The following is a 23,777-nucleotide window of genomic DNA, read 5'->3' as shown; positions in this document are numbered from 1 at the left end:
GATCTCGGCCAGGCTTGGTGGCTCATGCCTGTAATCCCAGCACTTTGGGAGGCTGGGGTCAGGAGTTGGAGAACACCCTGGCCAAAATGGTGAAACGCTGTCTCTACTAAAAATACAAAATTAGCCAGGTGTGGTGGCACACACCTGTAATCCCAGCTACTTGGGAGGCTGAGGCAGGAGAACCGCTTGAGCCCAGGAGCAGAGGTTGCAGTGAGATGAGATCACACCATTGCACTCCAGCCTGTGCAACAAGAGCAAAACTCTGTCTCAAAAAAAGATAATAAAATAAAATAAAAAATAAAACCATCAGATCTCATAAGAACTCACTAAACACGAGAACAGCATAGGGGTAACCATCCCCATGATTCAATTACCTCCCACTGTGTCCTTCCCATGACACATGGGGATTGTGTGAACTACAGTTCAGGATGAGATTTGGGTGGGGACACAGCCAGACCATATTATTCTATACCTGGCCCTCCCAAATCTTATGTCCTCACATTTCAAAACACAATCATGCCTTTCCAACAGTCCCTGAAAGTTTGAACTCATTCCAGCATTAACTCAAGAGTCTTAGTCCAAAGTCTCATCTGAGACAAGGCAAGTCCCTTCCACCTATGAGCCTGTAAAATTAAAAGCAAGTTAGTTACTTCCTAGATACAATGGGGGTACAGGCATTGGGTAAATACACCCATTCCAAATGGGAGACATTGGCCAAAACAAAGGGACTACAGACCCCATGCAAGTCCAAAATCCAACAAGGCAGTAATTAAATCTTAAAGCTTTAAAATAATCTCCGTTGACTCCATGTCTCACATCCAGGTCATGCTGATGCAAGAGATGGGTTCCCACAGCCTTGGGCAGCTCTGCCTCTGTGGCTTTGTAGGGTACAGCCCCCATCCTGGCTGCTTTCACAGGCTGTTTTTGAGTGCCTGTGCCTTTTCCAGGTGCAAGCTGTCAGTGGATCTACCATTCTGACTTCTGGAGGATGTGGACCTCTCCTCACAGCTCCACAAGGCAGTGCCCCAATGGGGACTTTGTGTGGGGGCTCCAAACTCACATTTCCCCTCCACACTGCCCTAGCAGAGGGCTCCACCCCTGCAGCAAACACCCCTGCAGCAAACTCCAGCCTGGACATCCAGGCATTTCCATACATCCTCTGAAATCGAGGCAGAGGTTCCCAAATCTCAACTCTTGACTTCTGCATACCCACAGGCCCAACACCACATGGAAGCTGCCAAGGACTGGGGCTTGCACCCTCTGAAGCCACAGCCTGAGATCTACCTTGATCCTTTTTAGCCACAGTTGGAGAGGCTGGACACAAGGCACCAAGTCCCTAGGTTGCACACCACAGAGGAGCCCTGGGCCCACCACATGAAATCATTTTCTCCTCCTAGATCTCTAGGCCTGTGATGGGAGGGGCTGCCAGGAAGGACTCTGACATGCCCTGGAGACATTTTCCCCATTGTCTTGGTGATAAACATTCAGCTCCTTGTTACTTATGCAAATTTCTGCAGTAGGCTTGAATTTATCCCCAGAAAATGGTTTTTTTCCTTCTATTGTATTGTCAGGCTGCAAATTTTCCAAACTTTTATGTTCTTGAACACTTTGCTGCTCAGAAATTTCTTCCACCAGATACACTAAATCATCTCTCTTAAGTTCAAAGTTCCACAGAACTCTAAGGCAGGGGCAAAACATGCCAGTCTGCCAGTCTCTTTGCTAAAGTATAACCAGAGTCACCTGTGCTCCAGCTCCCAAAACTTTCCTCATCTCCGTCTGAGATGACCTCAGCCCAGACTTTATTGTCCATATCACTATCAGCATTTTGGTTAAAGCCATTCAACAAGTTTCTAGGAAGTTCCAAACTTTCCCACATCTTCCTGTCTTCTGAGCCCTCCAAAATGTTCCAGCCTCTGCCTGTTACCCAGTTCCAGAGTTGCTTTTACATTTTCAGGTATCTTTATAGCAGCACCCCACTCCTGGTACCAAGTTACTGTATTAATTCCATTCTCATGCTTCTATGAAGAAATACCCAAGACTGGGTAATTTACAAAGGAAAAATATTTAATTGACTTACAGTCAATTACAGGGCTTGGGAGATTTCAGGAAACTTACAATCATGGCAAAGGGGAAGCAAACATGTTCTTCTTCACATGGCAGCAGCAAGGAGAAGTGCAGAGTAAAGGCGGATGGGAAAACCCCTTATAAAATTATCAGATCTCATGAGAACTCACTCATTAGCAAAAGAACAGCATGGAGGTAAATGCCCCCATGATTCAATTACCTCCCACTGGGTCTCTCCAACAACACATGGGCATTATAGGCACTACAGTTCAAGATGAGATTTGGGTAGGGACATAGCCAAACTATATCATTCAGGAAAGTGAACTGGTTATTAAAAGAGACTATGTCTTAAATATGCATGCTTATCTATGTGTAATTTAAAGAAACATGTACAATTGAAAGTAAAGGTTGAATAAAAGATATACTCTAACCACAAATCAAAAACAAAAATAAAAGCCATGCATGGTGCCTCCTACCTGCAATCTCAGCACTTTGGGAGGCTGAGGCAGGCATGGTGGCTCCCACCTGCAATCTCAGCACTTTGGGAGGCTGAGGCAGACAGATCACTTGAGCCCAGGAGTTCAAGACCAGCCTGGGCAACAGAGTGAGACCCCATCTCTACCAAAAATACAAAAATTAGCCAGGCATAGCAGCACATGCCTGTGGTCCCAATTACTCTGGAGGCTGAGGCAGGAGGATTACCTGAGCCCAAGAAGTTAAGGCTGCAAGTGAGCCAAGATAGTGCCAGTGCCCACTCCAGCCTGGGCAACAGCCAGTGGCATGATCTCTTTTTCCCCTTCCTTGAATACTTCAGTCCTAAAGCCATAGGTGGGCAGAGCAAGGTGGGCCTCCACACTGGTGATGGGAAGCACTGGTGGCCCAGAGCAGGGTCTGTGCATGGTGGAGCCTGTGCATGGTGAGACCATCCTCAGAGGAAGGCTGCCCAATGCAGGGCATTGGAACCCAAACAGGTGAGGTGACAGAGCCTGCATTAAGTGAGGAGGATATCTTCATTGGGACGGGACAGCCTGGTGTGGGGAGTCAAGCCTAGAGTGGTAATGGGAGGATCCACAGGAAGGAGTGGCCTCTCCTGTGCAGGGTAAGAAAGGCATTCATGGAAGGGAGTGGTCCTCCATAAAGTAGACACTAAGTGAGGTGAGGAAGGCATCTATATGGGGAGAGTGCAAAGCCATTGAGACTGGTTACAAATAAGTAAATATATCAAAGATAGGGAACAAGGCTCCTCACTGTTTGAGAGGGGACTTACAAATATAAAGAGGGAGAAAATTAAAATGAACCTGTAATATTGGATTGGAAATGGACAGTATGGGGGAAAACCACTCCCATGATTAGATTATCTCCCACCGGGTCCCTCCCACCACACATGGAAATTATGGGAGCTAGAATTCAAGATGAGATTTGGGTGGGGACACAGCAAAACCATATCAGATACTTGTGTAGTTTCAAAGTATCTCCCTCCAAATGACTCATTCACTAATGAAGGAGAAAAGAGTAAGTTTACCACGGAAAAGCCAGGCAGACACCACCTATTATGTGCTAAATTGTGTACCCAAAAAATTTGTATGTTGAGGTCCTAACTCCCAGTACCTCAAACTGTCACTGTTTGGAGATAGGGCCTTTAAGATGGTGATTAAGGTAGAATGAGGTCATATGCATGGGTCCTAATCCAATATGACTGGTGTTCTTGTAAAAAAAAGGAGATTAGGACACAGAAAACACACAGACTGGGGGACAACCATATGAGGACACAGCAAGAAGATGAAGTGAAAGGGAAAACCCTTTTTAAAACCATAAGATCTCATGAGACTTACTACCAATCCAATCACCTCCCACCAGGCCCCACCTCCAACACTGAGGATTACAACTGAATATGAGATTTGGGGTAGGGGACACAGCTCCAAACCATATCACCACCTTAATCAAGCACCCAGAGTACTGTGCTTCAGTCATGGGGCAAATCAAAAGTATGCACCTCCTAATAGGACACAATGAAAAGGGCACTGAGCATCAATCACTTCTTGTTTTTCCTGTCAAAGATGCATAACCTGAAACTAACCATGAGAAAACATCAGAAACATCAAATTAAAGGAGCTACTAAAAAAATGCCTGGCCTGTAATTCTCAAAATTGTTAAGGGCATGTAAGTCAAGGAAGAATTGAGGAATGATCACAAATTTGCCTGTTCTTTGGCAAATATTGATCAAGCTTATAGTGTGGTGGGGGTGTGTAAAACTAACAAATAATGTTCAAAAATAAGTACTAATGGGAAAAAAGCAGGATGGGAGATAGGGAGTGGCAGGAGCTACTCTATTAGGTGGGATGGCCAGGGAACTCCTGTGAGGAGGGGATATTTGGGCAGACAAATGAAGAAAAAGGAGCTTTGCAAATATCTAGGAGATCATTCCAAGCTGAAGTAGCAAGTGCCAAGGCCCTGAGCACAAAAATTCATAGTGGTTTCAAAAAAAGAACAAAAGGGCCAGAGTACTGCAGGAGTTTGAGCCAGGGAAAGCATGATAGAAATCAGGCTAGAAGACTGATCAGTGGTCAGATTGTTTCAAGGCTTCGAATACTGGGGTAAGGAATTTAATCTTTATCCTCTGTGTAATGGGAAGCCACTGAAGAGTTCTGATAGTGGGAGCAAAATGAGTCAATTTATGAGTTGAAATTATCACACTAGCTTCTATTTACCAAATAGACTATTTGGGGAACAAGAGAAGAGGCAGGGAGATCCATTAGAAGAGTTACTATAGCCCTGTAAGAAATGATGATGGCTTGGGCTAGGGAAGTGATGCTGGGGAAGTGGTAAATGGCTCCAAAATAAGAACATGGGGCATTTCGGAGTCAAAAAGGTCTGCGATTATAAACAACCCTCTCCTATTTGGTTTGGTTTTGTTTTGTTTTCTCAAGGGTATGGGAATTGGGAAGGACAGTATATGCACAGAACAAGGAATCACCTGCACGTTTCCTGACTTCACTGGAGAGCACTTAGTCATTCCTCAAGGCACACTCATGTCCTCCCTTCTACACACCCTTCCACCCAACATTTATCACCTCTCTACACTCCCACAGCACTTTGTTCCTGGGCTGGAAAACAGGGCCTCGCCACTTCCTCTTGTGGTTAGTGGTGTTTGTCTCTACTTCCAGATTTTTCTAAGCTCCTGAATGGCAAGTTCCTGCCTTGGGCAGCAAAGAACCTCAAGACTAACAGAGCCTGAATTATAGTATGTATTTTATAAAATATGTGTAAATGCCTAAAGAGGATAACTGTTAAACAGAAGCAGTTTCCAAAGAGAGCTTTTGGACCAAGGAATTTACTAGGTGAAGCTATGGTATTTCATTCATCATTCCATTGTTAACCAAAAATCTGGAGAACTGACTGGATAGAACAGGATTTCCAAAGTCATTTCTCTGCCTATCCTAAAAAAAATTCGGTTCTGCAGGAACAGTTTCAGAACCTGCCTTACAAATAACCAGCACTGAAAATTCCTTCCAGTTAGGACGTTTGACAGGTTCACTTGTGCTTAATTTAGCAACAGACATCAGGGCTGCCTGTATCAAAGAATGATTGCAATGAAAAACAGGCTTTGAACCAAGGTCAACCCCACAGGTGACTCAGCACATGAGCACTGTCACGTGTGCATTCCATAGATGTCAGCTCCACTCCCGGCTCCTAGTCACAGAGCTTGATTCCATTGACACTATACTTTAGTTGTAAAGGAAGTATACTTTTCTGTAAACTCTTTCAGAAGAGTGCTTAGGCATTTACTATCCCAAACTTACATGAAAAATGTTCAAAGGCACTCTAAATCCCCTATGATGTTTTCGTCCAAACATGTTTCTTGATTTTGTTTTTATTTTCCACCTGCTTCAGTGGATTTCCATAGCCCAGAGTTTTTGCCTTTGTCATTGTTGTGTCCTCAGACCTAGAACAGCATACGAATTGTAAGCACCAAATATAGGTGTTTTCCTTTATAAAGCTAGAGAAACAATGATTTGAAAACTTGCCCAACTCTAACCTGTGATCCCTAATTGACTTGTGTAATCAGCAAGGATATATCTTAACTAAGCCAAGACATACAATTGTCAAAGATTCTCAAAAAAGTTTAAATTCACCTATTTGTATAAGAAATATATATATTTCACCTTGAGAGGAGACTAACTGGTTCTGCTCTTTGAGCTATCCACTCCCTGATCACAGCTTTAGAGGGCAAACGGATTTGAAATGTTTTAGGTCACCAAGATAGAGTATACATTTTTTATTCTCAGAGTTTTCCAAGACATCTTTTCCGGACACAGAGCCAAGAGGCCAGCAAGTAGCCAGAATTACTATATGCGTCTCACAACAGCAGGGAGTGCTCATAGCAGGAATTTATGACCATGGAGGGCCATCAAAAGCCTTGATGGGATCCTCAGCCTAGGCTGTAACACGTGCAGCCTGAAAACTCACCACCCACCCACAATGCCAAGAACACCAATGACCTGGTGGCTTCTTTCAGCTGACTTCCTGCTGTCGGGTTTTTGTATTCTCCACCAACACCAAAATCTTCCAGTTTTCCCTGTGTTAGTCCAGATCTCCTATAAATCACTTTATCTTACAAAACCTTTCAGCATTTAATTTGCAAATGAACAGTAATGATTCTAAAGGAGAGGCTTTTCTCCTTATATTTAAATAATGGCTTTAACCTAGAGTAAAACACTCAGAGAAACTTCTTTTTAAATTTAAAGTTGTCTCCTTCTAGAACTTTTATTTTTTGCAACAAGAACTCACTCTCTTCCTATATGATAAAAGAAAATGATTTTGAATGCTTCTGTAACTAGCAAGAAAGTTAGGACTACTCAAGTCAGAGACTAAAGGAAGATCGATTCCCAGAGGAAAAAGCAGAGCAGAGAGCCCAGCAGTTGTCATTTACTTTGCAGGCATTGGCTGAACCAGGCAAACTCTAGCATTGGTTTCTAGAGCCTTAAGGGCCTAAGGGACAAAAAACAAAATTGAAGTCCTGCCCAAGATGGAAAGTCTAACTACAGTCTTCCTTTGAAGGTGAAATATCAAAGGACTATAACCTCTGTGTAACAGTAAAGTAGAAAGGGCCAGGTGCAGTGGCTCATGCCTGCAATCCCAGCACTTTGGGAGGCCGAGGCGGGCGGATCACCTGAGGTCAAGAGTTCGAGACCAGCCGGACCACATGGAGAAACCCCATCTCTACCCAAAAAAAATACAAAATTAGCCAGGCATGGTGGCGCACACCTGTAATCACAGCTACTCTGGAGGCTGAGGCAGGAGAATCGCTTGAACCCGGGAGGCAGAGGTTCCGGTAAGCCGAGATCACGCCATTGCACTCCAGCCTGGGCAACAAGAGCGAAACTCCATCTCAAAAAAAAAAAAAAAGAAAAGAAAAAAAAAAGAAATAATCCATCCTCCAATCTCAAATGTAAGCAAGGCAAATTGCTTGTGTCAAACCTTACTGATAAGTGAAAGGGAAAAATAACTTTCCCCTAAAGATTTAAAACTACTTGGCAATTAAAAAGAATGAATTACTTATAAATACAATGTGGATTTATCTAAAAATAGTACACAGATCATTCAAAACCACAATGGCTCACCTTTGGATTTACAGACTGAATTCTCACTATTTCCATAGCCCGATAACCTCAAGCCAACAATATAGTTTAAAGTAGTACCAGATTGATAGTGCCCTAGAGCTGGGGTGGGCAACCATATCAGATGAAGAAGCAGATAGTAAACATTTTAGGCTTTGTGGGCCATGCAGGTCACTATAGCAACTACTCAACTTTGCTTTTGTCATGCAAAAGCAGCTATAGGCAATATATAAACAAATGCTGTCTTGCAATAAAATTGTATTTACAAAAACAGACAGAGGGCAGGATTTGGCCTACAAGCTTTGGTTTGCTGATCCCTGCTCTCCAGGTCTAAGAGAGGATAAAATTCCAAAGATGATAATTATTAAAATTCTCTAAACACACAAAGACTCTATGAACAAGAAGCAGCAGAAAAGATAGACCCAGACCCTCAAAAGATATAAGATTTTGGAGTTGTTGGGAAAAACATAAAATCAATAAGCATAAGGTACTTCAAAACTATGTGAGAGTAATCACATTTGAAAAAGAATTAGATATAACTCTTACAAATGAGAAATAAGGCTGGGCGCAGTGGCTCATGCCTGTAATCCTAACACTTTGGGAGGCTGAAGCAGGCAGATCACCTGAGGTCAGGAGTTCGAGACCAGTCTGGTCAATATGGTGAAACCCTGTCTCTACTGAAAATACAAAAAAAAATAGCTGGGAGTGGTGGTGCATGCCTGTAATCCCAGCTACTCAGGAGGCTGAGGCAGGAGAATCGCTTGAACCCAGGAGGCAGAGATTGCAGTGAGCCAAGATTGTGCCACTGCACTCCAGCCTGGATGACAGACGGAGACTCAGTCTCATAAAAAAAACAAAGGGAAATAAAGGACATCAACAAAATGGTTAACTAGAGTTGCCTGGCACATATCCCTCCCAACAAAAAACAACCAAAACAACAAATAACAACTAACATTCAACTGTAGTGTCTGAGGGACAGCACTGGAGTGCAGAAAGGGACTGGTGAAATCCCTGTGGAGCACAGAAGCCCAGGATGTCAGCAAAAAGAGGGGAGCAAGGCACCCTGCCCCTGCCACCCCATCTCTCCCATTGAGATTGGCTCAGATCCAGGAGGGACTTCTCCATATGGGAAAAAGGTAAGCAGAAGGCCCCCACATGCCTGAACTGCCACTGCAGATTCCTGTAGTACTTACTATAGAAGAATCCCACAGTCCTCAAAAGCCCTTAGCCCAGTTTGCGGAGCTGCTTGGAATTAACATAGCTGCGTTACTCCAGAGTAGGAACACAAGGTGTGCACTCCCCACCCCAATCAACCCCAGTGAGCCAAGCTACTGCAGGACTGTGCCATCTTGAAACTGGAACCACTGCTAGAGTCCACCCTGCTCTGGGGTCCAGCAGCCACTGCATGTCTCCAGCCTTGAGTCTCTGCCATTATTTTACCAAGTCCACACAGGTGGCTGCAATACCACAACGCTGTCTGCTTGGAGCATGGGGCCAGGAACAGCCATGACTTCAGCATTGCACAGCAGGAAAGCCAACCCTTGGCTGGCTGAACTAAATAGTCCAATGGACCTTCCCCCAGAAAGTCCCCCTTCTTGGCACTCACTACCAAAGAAACAGCCTGACAAACCTGCCCCTGAGACAAGCCACCGAACTACTGCACATCCATGTCCCAGCTGGAGAAGCAACAAGGTGAACCCACCTCCAGCAGAAACATTCCTGGTGGACCCACTCCCAGGTCCACCAAGCATCTGTATCCCTGCACCCATGGCCAGCGAAACTGCATGGAAAATTCACCCCCAGCAAGCCAGTCACCAAACCAACCAACCCACTGCACACTTATGCCTCTGGCCAGAGAAAAAGCTCAATGGTCCCATCCCCGCAAAGATGCACCACTGCCACCATAGATTCTCACAGCCTAGGCCACTGAGGTACTCACAAAGATCATTAATGTGGATTATAGCCAAAGAATCTTAACAGGTTAACAGACTACACTACTGTGTCCACCCAGAACCAAGGCCAACTCAACTTACCCATTGACACCATATGACTCACCTACAGGAATGACTCTCCCTACCAAAGGTACTCCATAAAATTGGAAGAGGCAATTGTTTCAGCAGATACACAGGTATCAACATAGAGATACAAGAAAATGAAAATGCAAGGAAACATGACACTTCCAAAAGAACATAATAATTCTCCAATACCAGCTCCCCCACCAAAAACAATTTACAAGATGCCAAAAAAGAAATTCAAAATAATGAGTTTAAGAAAACTTGGTGAGATGCAAGAGGATACATATAGACAATTCAACAAAATCAGGAAAACACTTCGTGATCTGAATAGGAAATTTAACAAAGAGATAGATAGAATAAAAGAAACAAACAGAAATCTTGGAGCTTAAGAACTCAATGAATGAAATAAGAAATACAACCGAGACCTTCAACAAAAGACCAGAGCAAGCAGAAGAATTTCTAAACTTGAAGACAGGTCTTTTGATATGACCCAGGCAGACAACAACAAAAACAAAAGAATAAAACAGAATGAAGAAAGACTACAGGATTTACAGGGCATCATAAAGCAAAATAAAAATTCACATTATGAGAATTTCAAAAGGAGAAGTGTGTAAGTCCATTTCGCGTTGCTGTAAATAAATACCTGCGGCTGGGTCTTTTATAAAGAAAAGGGGTTTATTGCTGTACAAGAAGCATGATACCTGCATCTACTTTTGGTGACAACCTCAAGAAGCTTTTACTAATGGTGGAAGGCAAAGGGTGCCAGCATGTCACATGGTGAGAGAGGGAGCAAAAAAGCAATGGGAGGAGTGCCATGCCTTAAACAACCAGCTCTTGTATGAACTAATAGAGTAAGAACTCATCCATTACCATGGGAAGGGGACCAAGCCATCATTCATTACCATGGGAAGGGGACGAAGCCATTCATGAGGGATCACCCCCACTAACCAGACAACTTCCAATAGGCGCCACCTCCAACATTAGTGGGGATGGGTCACATTTCAACATAAAATTTGGGGAAGACAAATATCCAAACTATAGCAAGAAGAGATGGGAAAATACATAGAAAACCTATTTCATAAATTAATAGCTGAAAACTTCCAAGGTCTTGGGAGGGATAGAGACATCCAGATCCAAGGAACTCAGAGATTCCCAAATAGATTCAACCCAAAAAGGTCCTCTGCAAGGTGCATATAGTCAAACTGTCAAAAGTCAAAGACAAAGAGAATTCTAAAAACAACAAGAGAAAAATATCAAGTCACATACAAGGGAATTTCCATTAGACTAATAGCATAGTTATTGGCAGAAACCTTACAGGGCAAAGAGAATGAGGCAACATAGTTAAAGTGCATTAAGAAAAAAAAAAAACTGCCAGCCAAGAATACTATACCCAGGAAAGCTATCCTTGAAAAATGAAGTCCACAAACCCTTTCCCAGAAAAGCAAAAACTGAGAGAATTCATCAACACTAGGCTTGCCTTAAAGTAAATGCTTAAGGGAGTTCTACATCTGGCAGCAAAAGAACAATAACTAGCATCATGAAAACACATGAAAGAACATGAAAGCATAAAACTCACTGATACACCAGACATACAAAGGAGAAAGAGAAATAAATCAAATCTTATCACCACATAAAACCACTAAACTTCAAAGATAAATGATAAGAGAGAAAGAAAAGAACAGGGGCTATACAAAGCAATTAGAAAATGATTGACAAGATGACAGGAATAAAGTCCTCACCTGTCAATAATAATCTTGAACTTAAACAGATTAAATCCCCTAATCAAAAGATATACACTGGCTGAATGGATTTTTTTAAATGACCCAACCATATACTGTCTACAAGAAACTCACTTCACCTGTAAAATACACATAAATCAAAAGTGAAGGGATAGAAAAAGATATTCTACACAGAAACCAAAAGTGGGCAGGAATAGCTATAGTTATATCTGATAAAATAGGCATTAGGTAAAAAAACTATTTTAAAAAAAGGGACAAAGGGCCAGCCATGGTGGCTCATGCCTGTAATCCCAGCACTTTGGGAGGCTGAGGCAGGTGGATCATGAGGTCAGGAGATCAAGACCATCCTGGTCAACATGGTGAAACCCCGTCTCTACTAAAAATACAAAAATTAACTGGGCATGGTGGCGCGTGCCTGTAATCCCAGCTACTCAGGAAGCTGAGGCAGGAGAATCGCTTGAATCTGGGAGTCAAAGGTTGCAATCAGCCAAGCGCACCGCTGCACACCAGCCTGGCAACAGAGCGAGACTCCGTCTAAAAAAAAAAAAAGAAGGTTATTATTTACTGATAAATGGATAAATTTTGCAACAGGATATAACAATTATAAATGTATATGTACCCAACCCTAGAGTACCCAGATATATAAAGCAAATATTATTAGATCTAAAAGGAGAGATAGGCTCCAATAAAATAGTAGTTGGGGACTTCAAGACCCCACTCTCAGCGTTGAAGAGATCATCTAGGCAGAAAATCAACAAAGAAACATCCAATTTAAACATACTACAACCAAAAGACTTAACAGACATTAAGAACATTTCATTCAACAGCTGTAAAATACATATTCTTCTCATCAGCACATGGAACATTCTCTATGACTGACCATGCATTAGGCCACAAAAAAAGTCTCAACAGATTTTTAAAAACCAAAATCTCATCTAGTATCTGTTCTGACCGCAATGGAATAAAACTAAAAATCAACAACAAGAGGAACTTTAGAAGCTGTACAAATACATGGAAATGAAACAACATGCACCTGAATGACCAATGAGTGAATGATGAAATTAAGGAGAAAATTTAAAAATTTATTTAAACAAATAAAAGTGGAAACACAACACCCAAAACCTATAGGATACAGCAAAAGCAGTATTAAGAGGGAAGTTTACATCAGTAAACACATACATCAAAAAAAGTAGAAAGATTTCAAATAAATAACAATGCACCCCAAGGAACTAGAAAAGCAAGAACAAACCAAACCCAAAATTAGTAGAAGAAAATAATAATATCAGAGCAAATATAAATGAAATTAAGACCAAAAAAATGCAAAAAAAAAAGATGAAACAAAAAGCTGCTTTTTTGAAACAATAAACAAAATTTGAAAAGGAATAGCTAGACTAAGAAAAAAGAGAAAAAACCCAAATATATAAAATCAGAAGTGAAAAAAAAGACATTACAACTGATAGCACAGAAATACAAAGGATCATTAGAAACTATTATGAACAACTCTACTTCCTAATTTCTGTTAGAAAAACCTAACAGAAATGGATAAATTTCTGGACACATACCACCTACCAAGACTGAACCAAGAAGAAATGAAAAACCTGAACAGAATAATTACAAGTAACCAGACTGAACCAGTAATAAAACATCTCCCAATAAAGAAAAGACCAGGCACAAATGACTTCACTCCTGAATCCTACAAAATTATTTAAAAAGAACTAATTTCACTGCTTCTCAAACTATTCCAAAAAGTTAAAATGGAGAGAATTCTTCCAAAATCATTGTATGAGGCCAGCATTGCTCTGATAATACAACCGGACAAAGTCACAATAAAAAATAGAAAAGTATAGGCCAAAATATCTGATTAACAAAGATCCAAAAATCCTCAACAAATACTAGCAAACCAAATTCAACAGCACATAAAAAATATACACCATGATCAAGTTGGATTTATCCCAGGAATGCAAAGATGGCTCAATATATGCAAATTCATAAATGTGATACATCACATCAACAGAATGAAAAACAAAAACCATATGATTCTTGAACAAAAAGAACAAAGCTGTAGGCATCACACTACCTGACTTCAAAATATGCTACAAAACTATATTAACCAAAACAGCTTGATATTGGCATAAAAAGAAAAATAGACCAATGAAACAGAATAGACAATGCAGAAATAAATCCATGTATTTAAAGCCAACTGATTTTTTACAAAGGTGCCAAAAACATTCAATGAGAAAAAGGACAGTATCTTCAATAAATGGTACTGGAAAAACTAGATATCCATGTGCAGAAAAATGAGACTAGATCCTTAGTATAAAAATCAATTCAACACAGATTAAAGACTTAAATGAAAAACCCAAAACAATGAAACTACTAGAAGAAAATAGAGGGAATGTTTCAGGACATTGGTCTTCTTTAAAAACCCAAAACTATGAAACTACTAGAAGAAAATAGGAGAAATGCTTCAGGACATTGTTCTGAGCAAAAAATTTATGAATTAGACCTTAAAAGCACAGGAAACAAAAGCAAAAATAAACAAATGGAATCATATATAACTAAAATGCTTCTGCACAGCACAGAAAACAATAAATGGATTAAAGAGACAACCTGCAGAATGGGAAAAGATTTTTGCAGACTAATCATCTGACAAGGGAATTTTTTTTTTTTTTTTTGAGCAGGGTGTCACTGTCACCCAGGCTAGAGTGCAGTGATCATAGCTCACTGCAGCTTCAAACTTCTGAGCTCAAGTGATCCTTCTGCTTCAGCCTTACAAATAGTTAGAACTACAGATATGCACCACCATACCCAGCTGATATAAAAAAAAAATTGTAGAGACGGGGTCTCACTGTGTTGCCCAGGCTGATCTCAAATTCCTGGCCTCAAGCTATTCTCTCACCTCCACCTCTCAAAATGCTGGGATTACAGGTGTCAGCCACTGCACCTAGCCACTGACAAGAGATTAATATCCAGAACATACAACAAACTAAAAAAACTCAATAGCAAAATAATAATAATAATAATCTGATTTTAAAGTGGGCAAATGATCTGAATAGACATCTCAAAAGAAGACATGCAAATGATCAAGTTTACAAAAAATGTTCAACATCATTAATCTTCAAGGAAATGCAAATCAAACCCACAATGAGATAGCATCTCACCCCAGTTAGAATGGCTATTATCAAAAAGACAAAAAATAGCAAATGCTGGCAAAGGTCCAGAGAAAGGGGGACTCATACACTGTTGGTGAAGATGTAAATTAGGACAGCTATTATAGGAAACAGTATGGATGTTCCTCAAAAACTAAAAATAGAACCACCATATGACACAGCAATCCCAGTACTGAGTATTTTTCCATAGGAAAGAAAATCAGAATGTCAAAGAGATATCTGCATTGCCATGTTTATTACAGCACTATTCACAGTAGCCAAGATATGGAATAAACCTGTGTCTATCAACAGATGGATGGATAAAGTAAATGTGGTGTATATACACAATGGAATACTATTCTGCCATAAAAAGAATGAAATCCTGTCACTCACAGCAACATGGCTAAGGCTGGAGGACATTAATGGTTAGTGAAATTAGCCAAGCACAGAAAGATAAATACCACATGTTCTCACTCATATGTCGACGCTAAAAAAGCTGATCTCATAGGAGTAGAAAGTAGAATAGTGATTACTAAAGGCTGAGAAGTGTAGGAGGGAGGGGGGTATAGGTAGAGATTGGTTCACAGATACAAAATTATAGACAGACAAGTGGAATAAATTCTAGTGTTCTATATAGCATTGTAGGTGGCTAGAGTTAACAATTTATTGTATATATTTCTTTTCTTTCTTTCTTTTTTTTTTTTTTTTTTTTGAGACAGTCTCACTCTGTCACCGAGGCTGGAGTGCAGTGGTGCAATCTTGGCTCACTGCAACCTCCACCTCCTGGGTTCAAGTGATTCTCCTGCCTCAGCCTCCCAAGTAGCTGAAATTACAGGTGTACGGCATCATGCCCAGCTAATTTTTGTATTTTTAGTAGAGCCGGCGTTTCACCATGTTGGCCAGGCTGGTCTCGAACTCCTGATCTCCGGTGATCCGCCCACCTCAGCCTCCCAAAGTGCTACGATTACAGGCATGAGCCACCATGCTCAGCTTATTGTATATTTTCAAATCGCTGGAAGACAGGATTTTGATTGTTTCCAATATAAAGAAACTGCAAATGTTTAAGGTGATGGATTTGCTAATTATCTTGATTTGATCACTACACGTTGTACACGTTGTACACATGTATAAAAATACCACACTGTACCTCATAAATATGTACAATTATCTATCAATTAATAATAATTTAAAAATAGATATGCTAAGGCTGATGTTGCAAATATCAACAGGGTCTAATTAAAACTTTCAGAAATTATGTGCCATTAGTTCATTATATAAAGCTTCCAAAGTTTTTACAAGCCACAAATTAACTTAAATATTACTTAATGTTTTACATTTAATATGAATAGCCTGATGATATATTTTGCAATTTCTTGATTTTCCTTACATTTTGGGCACAGCCACTATACATGAGGAAAGAAAACAACAAAACCAAAGGAAAGCCCTTTCCCTAGACTGCCCAATTTTGAAAAATAGGGCTGCAGTACAGTGCTGCGGATGACTGAAACTATTTTATTTGGGAACAAGTGCTGATTCTGAAGGAAAACACACAGGATTGAGAAGTTACAATCTATCACCTATAAAAAGGGATATGAATATGAACTGAGCTAATAAAGACATATGGCAAGTAGAAGACGTTATGAGCCAATCACCAATGCTTGCTTACAGCAGTAGTAATAATAATAAATATTTACTGAGCATTAAAAAAGGAATGTGTAATAAAAAAATAGAATTGGCCATGTACAGTGGCTCACACCTGTAATCCCAGCACTTTGGGAGGCCAAGGCAGGTGGATCACCTGAGGTCAGGGATTTGAGACCAGCTTGGCCAACATGGCAAAACCTCGTCTCTACTAAAAATACAAAAATTAGCCGGGCATGGTGGCGCATGTCTGTAATCCCAGCTACTCGGGAGGCTGAGGCAGGAGAATCACTTGAACCTGAGAGGCAGAGGTTGCAGTGAGCCGAGATTGCACCACTGCACTCCAGCCTGGACACCAGAGTGAGAGTCCGTCTCAAAAAATAAAGAAAATGTTTTGTTTTATGACTCTGTATCCCATTAATCCCATTATCTTAACCATTTTTTTTTAAATCATAGCTAGTATCAATCCACTAGAAACAGCTGTTAAAAAACAAAAGCAAACACACAGCTTTTGTGAAGATACTTATTAGGGCCCCTAGCAGTATCAATCCCAGATCCCAGCCTTGCCCCCTACACCTGCCACAACACCCTTCCCCACTTCCCTCCACCCCACCTCCACCCCCAGCCTATCCTCCTATCATAACCTACCCTTTTCTATCATGAAGCAGTTTAGGTTAATAGTGCCACATTGAAGGAAAAAAAAAAAAGCCTGAAAGCAGCTTTGGCCAAGAGGCAGTCCCCATGACTACAATACATTATTTGTACTCACAAGAAACCAACAACCCTTATCATGTAGGTTAAAATACCAACATGGCACATGTATACGTATGTAACAAACCTGCACGTTGTGCACATGTACCCTAGAGCTTCAAGTATAATAAAAAAAAATCAACAGAATGTGCAAACTGCAACATATGCACTGAGATCATGCAAAGCACCAAGACAAAGATGACTATGCCTTGGAAAGTCTGTTGACGCAGGAAAACTTCCCCTGAGACTGTTCTTTGCCCCAGAGTGGCATCTGAAACTATTTCCCCTGCGCTCCGGGTATATTTACCGTTTCACACATGGCTGCTCATCCAGTCCCAGAATGTGGCATATTTTAGAAACCCTTGGCATTCCTAGAACCTGCTGTCTATAAATATGACTGCAGGACAAATAATTGAAATAAAAATAGGGCAACCTCGAGGCTCAATTAATGAATGTATGCAAGAGTTCGATGAAAGGTCTTACTTATCTGATGAGATTTTTCTACCAAATCCTGCCTTCCCTTCATATTGCCTTACAATTAGGGAAGACTCAGGAATACTAAACTCTGGACACAATATCTCTAAAGTGGGTATGGAATAATATTAGTGAAAGCAAACATAAAAGGAGCTCTAAGGAGCATACACTAAATCTGAGCAATATCAGCTTTCCAAAAACATGGTTTCAACAACATGGCAATTCCTCAAGCAACCTGAAACCTAGTTGTGTAAATCAGTCTTGTAGAAGACAAAAGTTCAGATTGAGACACTATTAGGTTATCTAGTGAATACATGATAGCACTGTTATTTTTACAGTGCTTTTGGAAAGATACACTTGTCTGAGAATTGGGCTAATGAAATAGATTTGTTAATTCAAGCCATAATTAACATAGAATTTACAAAAAAAAAAAGGCACTCCTTTCTCTGAGGAAAAAAATTAAGACAAAATGTCACCCAACATACATATTTGGATTTGCTAATTTTCAGTCAAGACCACTCCTAATAGAGTTTGTGGGGCAAAATTTCACCAAACAACAAAGGGAAAGTGGGGAGAGTGAGAACAGAGAGGTGGATGGCCATGAGAGTAACCTATTTGCAAGTTTTCTTTTGGGATGAAATCCAACTAGCTAGATAGATAAGAAGAGTATATACTGATAGTGCTATGCCAGGCCTACCTAGATAGTTAGATATAATTGCCTTAATTCACCTGCAAAATAACTGTAGTCTGTGACATTGCTCAAGGTGGAGTTCACAGGGCCAGAGTCCAAATGACTAGACTGAAAAAAAGATTTAAGCGGCGGGAGGGGAGGGGGAGAATCAGTGGCTCATGTTCTTGTTTCCCATTTGTTCCAGTCCAATAAAATCTAACTATGTCACTGAAATGAAAAACAAACAACCCTTGTTTGTAATAGGAAAGAATTTAACTTACTCAAAACCAGAAAAGGGGGGAAGGGAAGGGGGAATAATGCAACACACATTTAGAAATATAGAATTTATTTATATTCATAAGACAGTTTCACATTCTGTACATGGTTACCAGAACAGATACAATACTCTCAGTAGTTTACAACGGCATTATATTGCTGTCAAACATTGCTTATGCTGTGTGAGTTGGGGAAAACTTATTTCCCCCTCTAAAAAAAATTAAGGCTCAGTTTCCAAAAGATAATTATATCAGTCATTTTTCTGTTTAAGAGACTGGGAAAATTCGGGAATAAAAAGCACAAAGGGGTGGAGGGTGAGGGGTAGCTCCACACACTCTCATTCATTCATACTGAAGTTACTCAATGTGATTTTTTTTTTTTAAGGCTCCTTCTATCTGAAAATGTGTTTGGTTACAAAAACAAACAAATCAGTAGATGGGAGGGGTACTAGGTACAGATCTACAGCATTCAAACAAGGAAAACTAAGCTCTTTGTTACCAGTTGCTGGTTAAAATGTGGTCTACGAGCTGCCTACATATAAATGCGCACACACATTAACTTTGACTCACTTTTCTTTGGCGAAGCTTACTGAATAGTATTTCTCTTCCAACACACTAATGACACTAATTTACATTTCCTTTTGACTTTCAGAGCAGGTGGCCACAAAGTTGTCCCTTTTCCTAAATACAATCCTCCATTTTTCCTTTCAACCTTGCAGTAGACCATAACCATAATGGTCATCTTGCACTGATGTGTAATCTCACCATTTAAGTGACTGAAGAAAGTGGCAAGGCTAATTACAGAAAAAGAGTTTGGGCATTTTTGGAGAATTACCCTATCGATGAGTTCCAAACACACTTTTCAAGCACTTTTTTCTATACAAATATTTCATTCAGTCCACAGTGATGCCATCATTTTACAAAAGCAGAATCTGTTTTAACTCAGTAAACCACCTTACAATCCATGGGGCTAATGTTACAACAACAACAAAAGCCAAAAAGGGCACCTGTAGGTTCTGCCTCTGGCATAAAGAGGTAGAGACAATCATTCTGTAGAAAAGATTAACAATAATAAAAACAAAACAATAAAACAAAACAAAACAAAAAAAGCCATTCCATTTCTAAGGGCTAGTTCTAGATCTAAAGGCTGTCATCCGTCCTCTTAGCTGAGAGATCCATTGCCCACAATCATCTTGCTGTAATTTTTCTGCTGCTCTTCCTTAAAGATGTCCTTCACCTTTGCTCTCTTTAGTCCTCCATCCCTGCAAACAGAAAGACAAATACATAAAAGATACTTTACAGCGGTGATTTAAAAGAGTTAACTTAATAATTACATGCTGCATGATACCATGACGCTTAGGCAGCTGGGATGAAATAAGGGAAAGAACACTGGATTTGGAAACAGGAAGACCCAGGTTTCAGTTTCTGCCCTACCACTTGCCAAATACACATTACTTTGAGGAAGGAACAATCTCTCTGATGTTTGGTTAAAATAAGTAACAATATCCCCAACTCAGTTTCTTTAGAAGTTAAGGGGTGGTGTATTAAATATTTGGATTGGCCAGGCACAGTGGCTCACATCTGTAATCCCAGCACTTTGGGAGGCCAAGGTGGGTGGATCACCTGAGATCAGGAGTTCGAGACCAGCCTGGCCAACATAGTGAAACCCTGTCTCTACTAAAAATACAAAATTAGCTGGGCATGGTGGTGTATGCCTATAATCCCAGCTACTTGGAAGGCTGAGGCAGGAGAATCGCTTGAACCCGGGAGGTGGAGGTTGCAGTGAGCCGAGATCACGCCATTGCACTCCAGCCTGGGCAACAAGAGCAAAACTTCGTCTCAAAAACAAACAAACAAACAAACAAAAACTGGATTGAAACAAGGATTATTAAAACTAGGATTATTTCTCTATATTATTCCTTAAGGAAAACAAAATACTGGTTTTTCGTCTACCTATGTCTTACTAGAAAACCACAGGAAAATTTAAAATATACACAGAAGAAATGGTAAGGGTACTGTATATGTGTGGGTAAATTTCTTAAAGATAAATGATTATTCAAAAAAGATAAATCATTGTTCAAATATAACCCTATCTATGTTTAACAAGTTATATTTTCTTTTTTTTTTTTTTTTTTTTTTGAGACAGAGTTTTGCTCTTGTTGTCCAGGCTGGAGTGCAATGGCACAATCTTGGCTCACCGCAACCTCCACTTCCCGAGTTCAAGTGATTCTCCTGTCTCAGCCTCCTGAGTAGCTGGGATTACAGGCATGCACCAACAGGCCCGGCTAATTTTGTATTTTTAATAGAGACAGGGTTTTTCCATGTTTGCCAGGCTGGTCTCGAACTCCCAACCCCAGGTGATCTGCCTGCCTCAGCCTCCCAAAGTGCTGGGATTACAGGCGTGAGCCACCGTGCCCGGTCTAACAAGTTGTATTTTCATTCAAAGCACTATATTTCCAGCATTTATAATCATTTATATTCCAAAACAGATTCCGAATAAAATAACAAAATCATAAGTTGCATTCAACCAGAAGTGCCTATGTAAGCAGCATTCCTTCATTCAGAGCCTGTAAATCTTTGAACTCTCTCCAGGGTGCCTGCCTGGGTATAAGAACTCTGCATGCTTTTCCTTCTTTGGACTACACATAAAGAAACAACAAACTGGAGTTGCTGGGAGTAGTTTGGACTATCATAGGTCACTATCTGGCTCCTAATCTAAAGTTTTAGATTTTAACTGCTAGGAGAGCATGGGCTGAGAACTTGCTTACTTTATACTCTGACTGTTTAATTTTAACCCAGTTAAGCATGCATGTTTACCAAATGCTTTCTGATGATGGTGAATGATCGTAGGTTAGCCAGTGAACTCAATGCCATGTGGACAGAACTTGACCTCCACAGAGACACCGGCTTGAGACAAATGCAATGTTCTGGCTTCTAGACTCAAATCTAAGACACAGCAATAAGTCCTCAACTTAAAAACAGACTGTGATCCACAAATCATCCAGTGGGTCAGTTGTGGGAGGTTTTCATGAAACAAGATTATAAATTGTTGTTAGGTCCACAGAATTGTCCACATAAGCCTCTTTTATCCAAATGAGCTTCTTCTATTAACAGCACTTACCTGAATTCTGAATAGTGAGAACTAAGGAAACTAAAGAAATAAGAAAGGCCTTTCTCCTTTCACAAGATCCAAGCCCAAAACAGGCAAAAATGTAAGTCTTGAGCAATCTGACATCATTTTGTACAATTCTCCTTCCCAAGCACCCAGTAAACCTCATGCTGCTCTAAGCACTTAAACTGTGATTTGCCACCCCTTAGAGACTTCAAAATTTTATCCAATTCCCCTTTGCAATGGCAGCAGGTCTTAGTTCTTAAGAGAGGGAGCAGCCATATATAAAAGCCAGTTTAAGATCATAAAATTATATTTTCACTCAATCTATGAAAAAACAATCTAGATATGTTAATTCATAACCAATAGGTACATGACAAATAAATCTAGAAAGGCAATGAGGCCACTTTCTTTTTTTTAAGAGGCTAGGTAATTAAAAGTAATTTTATTATACAATTGCATATGGCCTGAAAAAAGGACACTGGACAATTCTGAGGATCATTTTTGATGGATTTAGTTCAGCCACTCTGATGGAGAGTCTGTACTTGGCTGACTCCCCTAGGTTGTTCTTGTCTCTCAAGGCTTTCTTCCCTTCCTGTGTCTGAGACTACAGACACTGACTTCAGGATAGAAGCAGGAGGGCTGAGTGTCAGGTAAGATAAAGAGTGAGTAAAGAGTTTTAAATAAGGAAAAGGAACCCAGTTGCACGTATGACCATGGGTTATAGGACATCTGTGGACCAAGGTCGTTTTATATAGTTTTGTGATGCTATGATTCTGTCATTTAGTTTAACATATTCCAATGTAGACAGTGTAATACAAATGTTTAGTCTTAACCTATGCCTTAGGACTAGTCAGTTTCATACTCCAGGATGTATGGAACTCAAGTCATACACCTTGTTAGTCAAGAACTCTTACTCCAGGGTGGTCAGCTAGCATTTAATCAGAAGGCCGCCTTTCAGAGATGCCACTAATGGCTTCAGCTATCTTTATCTTTATTGCCCATCGATTTCTCAAGCTTTGTTAATTAGCATAACAAATTTTATTTATTTGTTTATTTATTTATTTGAGACAGGGTCTCGCTCTGTCACCCAGGCTGCTGTGCAGTGGCACGATCTCAGCTAACTGCAGCCTCGACCTCCTAGGTTCAAGGATTCTCAGGCCTCAGCCTCCCGAGTAGCTGGGACTACAGGTGTGCGCCATGGCGCCCAGCTAATTTTTGTATTCTTTTTGTAGAGACAGGGTTTCGCCATGTTGCCCAGGCTGGTCTCGAACTCTTAAACTCAGGTGATCTACCTGCCTCAGCCTCCCAAAGTGCTGGGATTACAGGCATGAGCCACTGCACCAGGTCCTTGCATAACAAATTTTAGAAATGAGTTTTCACTGTAGAAATTAGTGGTTTGTTAATTTGCATAATGGATATCAGAAACTGGTTTACCTGGATGCAATTAGTTGTATTCACGCTATGTGAATGGATAAATATTTTAGTGTTATTCCCCACCCTTGCATAATGGAGTACAGTAAGTCCTCCCTGAACATTGTTGATAGGTTCTTAGAAACTGCAACTTTAAACAAAATGATGCATAAAAAACTCAATATTTTTTCTCATCAACATTATAAAGAAACAACATTGAACAAAATGATGTTATTTATTCAAGAACCTACTATAAAGTCATTTTGCTTAAGGTCACAGCCTACAAGAACCTATCAATGATGTGAAGTGAATGCTTACTGTGTAATATCTAGCCAGCCCTTCTTCGAGAGGCAGACACCTTAAACCATCCTCTGCTGGTTCAGGAGGGTCCCTGGTTTCCTGGCTGACAGCCTAACTCAGTTGGCCAAATCCTGCTCCTAGAAACATTGCTACAATTGTCTGAAATAAACTTTTCTTGCAAAGTGTTTTTGAAACACCAAAAAAGACAGCAGGGAGTTTATTAACTGTATAGGACTTGAGGTATAGACTGTTTTGTGACAGCCTGCTAATTTAACATCCTGTATGTAAATAAGAATCCAATCTCCCGGCCAGGATCGGTGGCTCACGTCTGTAATCCTAGCACTCTAGGAGGCTGAGGTGGATCACCTGAGGTCAGGAGTTGGAGGGCAGCCTGGCCAACATAGTGAAACTCCATCTCTACTAAAAATACAAAAAAAATTAGCTGGGGATGGTGGTGCATGCCTGCAGTCCCAGCTACTCAGGAGGCTGAGGCAGGAGAATTGCTTAAACCCAGGAGGTGGAAGTTGCAGTGACCCAGATTGCACCACTGCACTCCAGCC

The 23,777-nt window shown here is 40.6% G+C and overlaps 1 protein-coding gene across 6 annotated transcripts in view, besides 2 other annotated features; it reads right to left on the bottom strand.

The window, feature by feature from the left end:
- Positions 5,023 to 6,222: an enhancer, noted in NCBI's record as "CDK7 strongly-dependent group 2 enhancer chr4:84539256-84540455 (GRCh37/hg19 assembly coordinates)". NCBI's record gives its function as "activates an origin of replication core promoter dependent on BRD2, BRD4, P300/CBP, MED14 and CDK7 cofactors, with strong dependence on CDK7, by STARR-seq in HCT116 cells {active_cell/tissue: HCT116}" and the evidence as "EXISTENCE:reporter gene assay evidence [ECO:0000049][PMID:35650434]".
- Positions 5,555 to 5,849: an enhancer, noted in NCBI's record as "tiled region #10444; HepG2 Activating DNase matched - State 5:Enh, and K562 Activating non-DNase unmatched - State 6:EnhF". NCBI's record gives its function as "activates a minimal TATA promoter and a strong SV40 promoter by Sharpr-MPRA in HepG2 cells, with weak activation in K562 cells {active_cell/tissue: HepG2 | K562}" and the evidence as "EXISTENCE:reporter gene assay evidence [ECO:0000049][PMID:27701403]".
- The window catches only part of GPAT3 (glycerol-3-phosphate acyltransferase 3), a 70,289-nt gene continuing 64,961 nt past the window's right edge, over positions 18,450 to 23,777 (bottom strand). For all 6 annotated transcript variants that reach the window (XM_017008780.2, NM_001256422.1, NM_001256421.1 and 3 more), the window contains one exon: positions 18,450 to 19,657. In XM_017008780.2, coding sequence (XP_016864269.1) covers positions 19,558 to 19,657 — 100 coding nt within the window. In that variant the 3' untranslated portion in view covers positions 18,450 to 19,557. The remainder of the gene's footprint in view (positions 19,658 to 23,777) is intronic.

This window comes from Homo sapiens, chromosome 4 (assembly GCF_000001405.40).
Source record: "Homo sapiens chromosome 4, GRCh38.p14 Primary Assembly".
Classification (NCBI taxonomy): Eukaryota; Metazoa; Chordata; class Mammalia; order Primates; family Hominidae; genus Homo; species Homo sapiens.
Note: the sequence above shows the minus strand (reverse complement) of the source record. Positions and strands in the feature narration are given on the sequence as shown.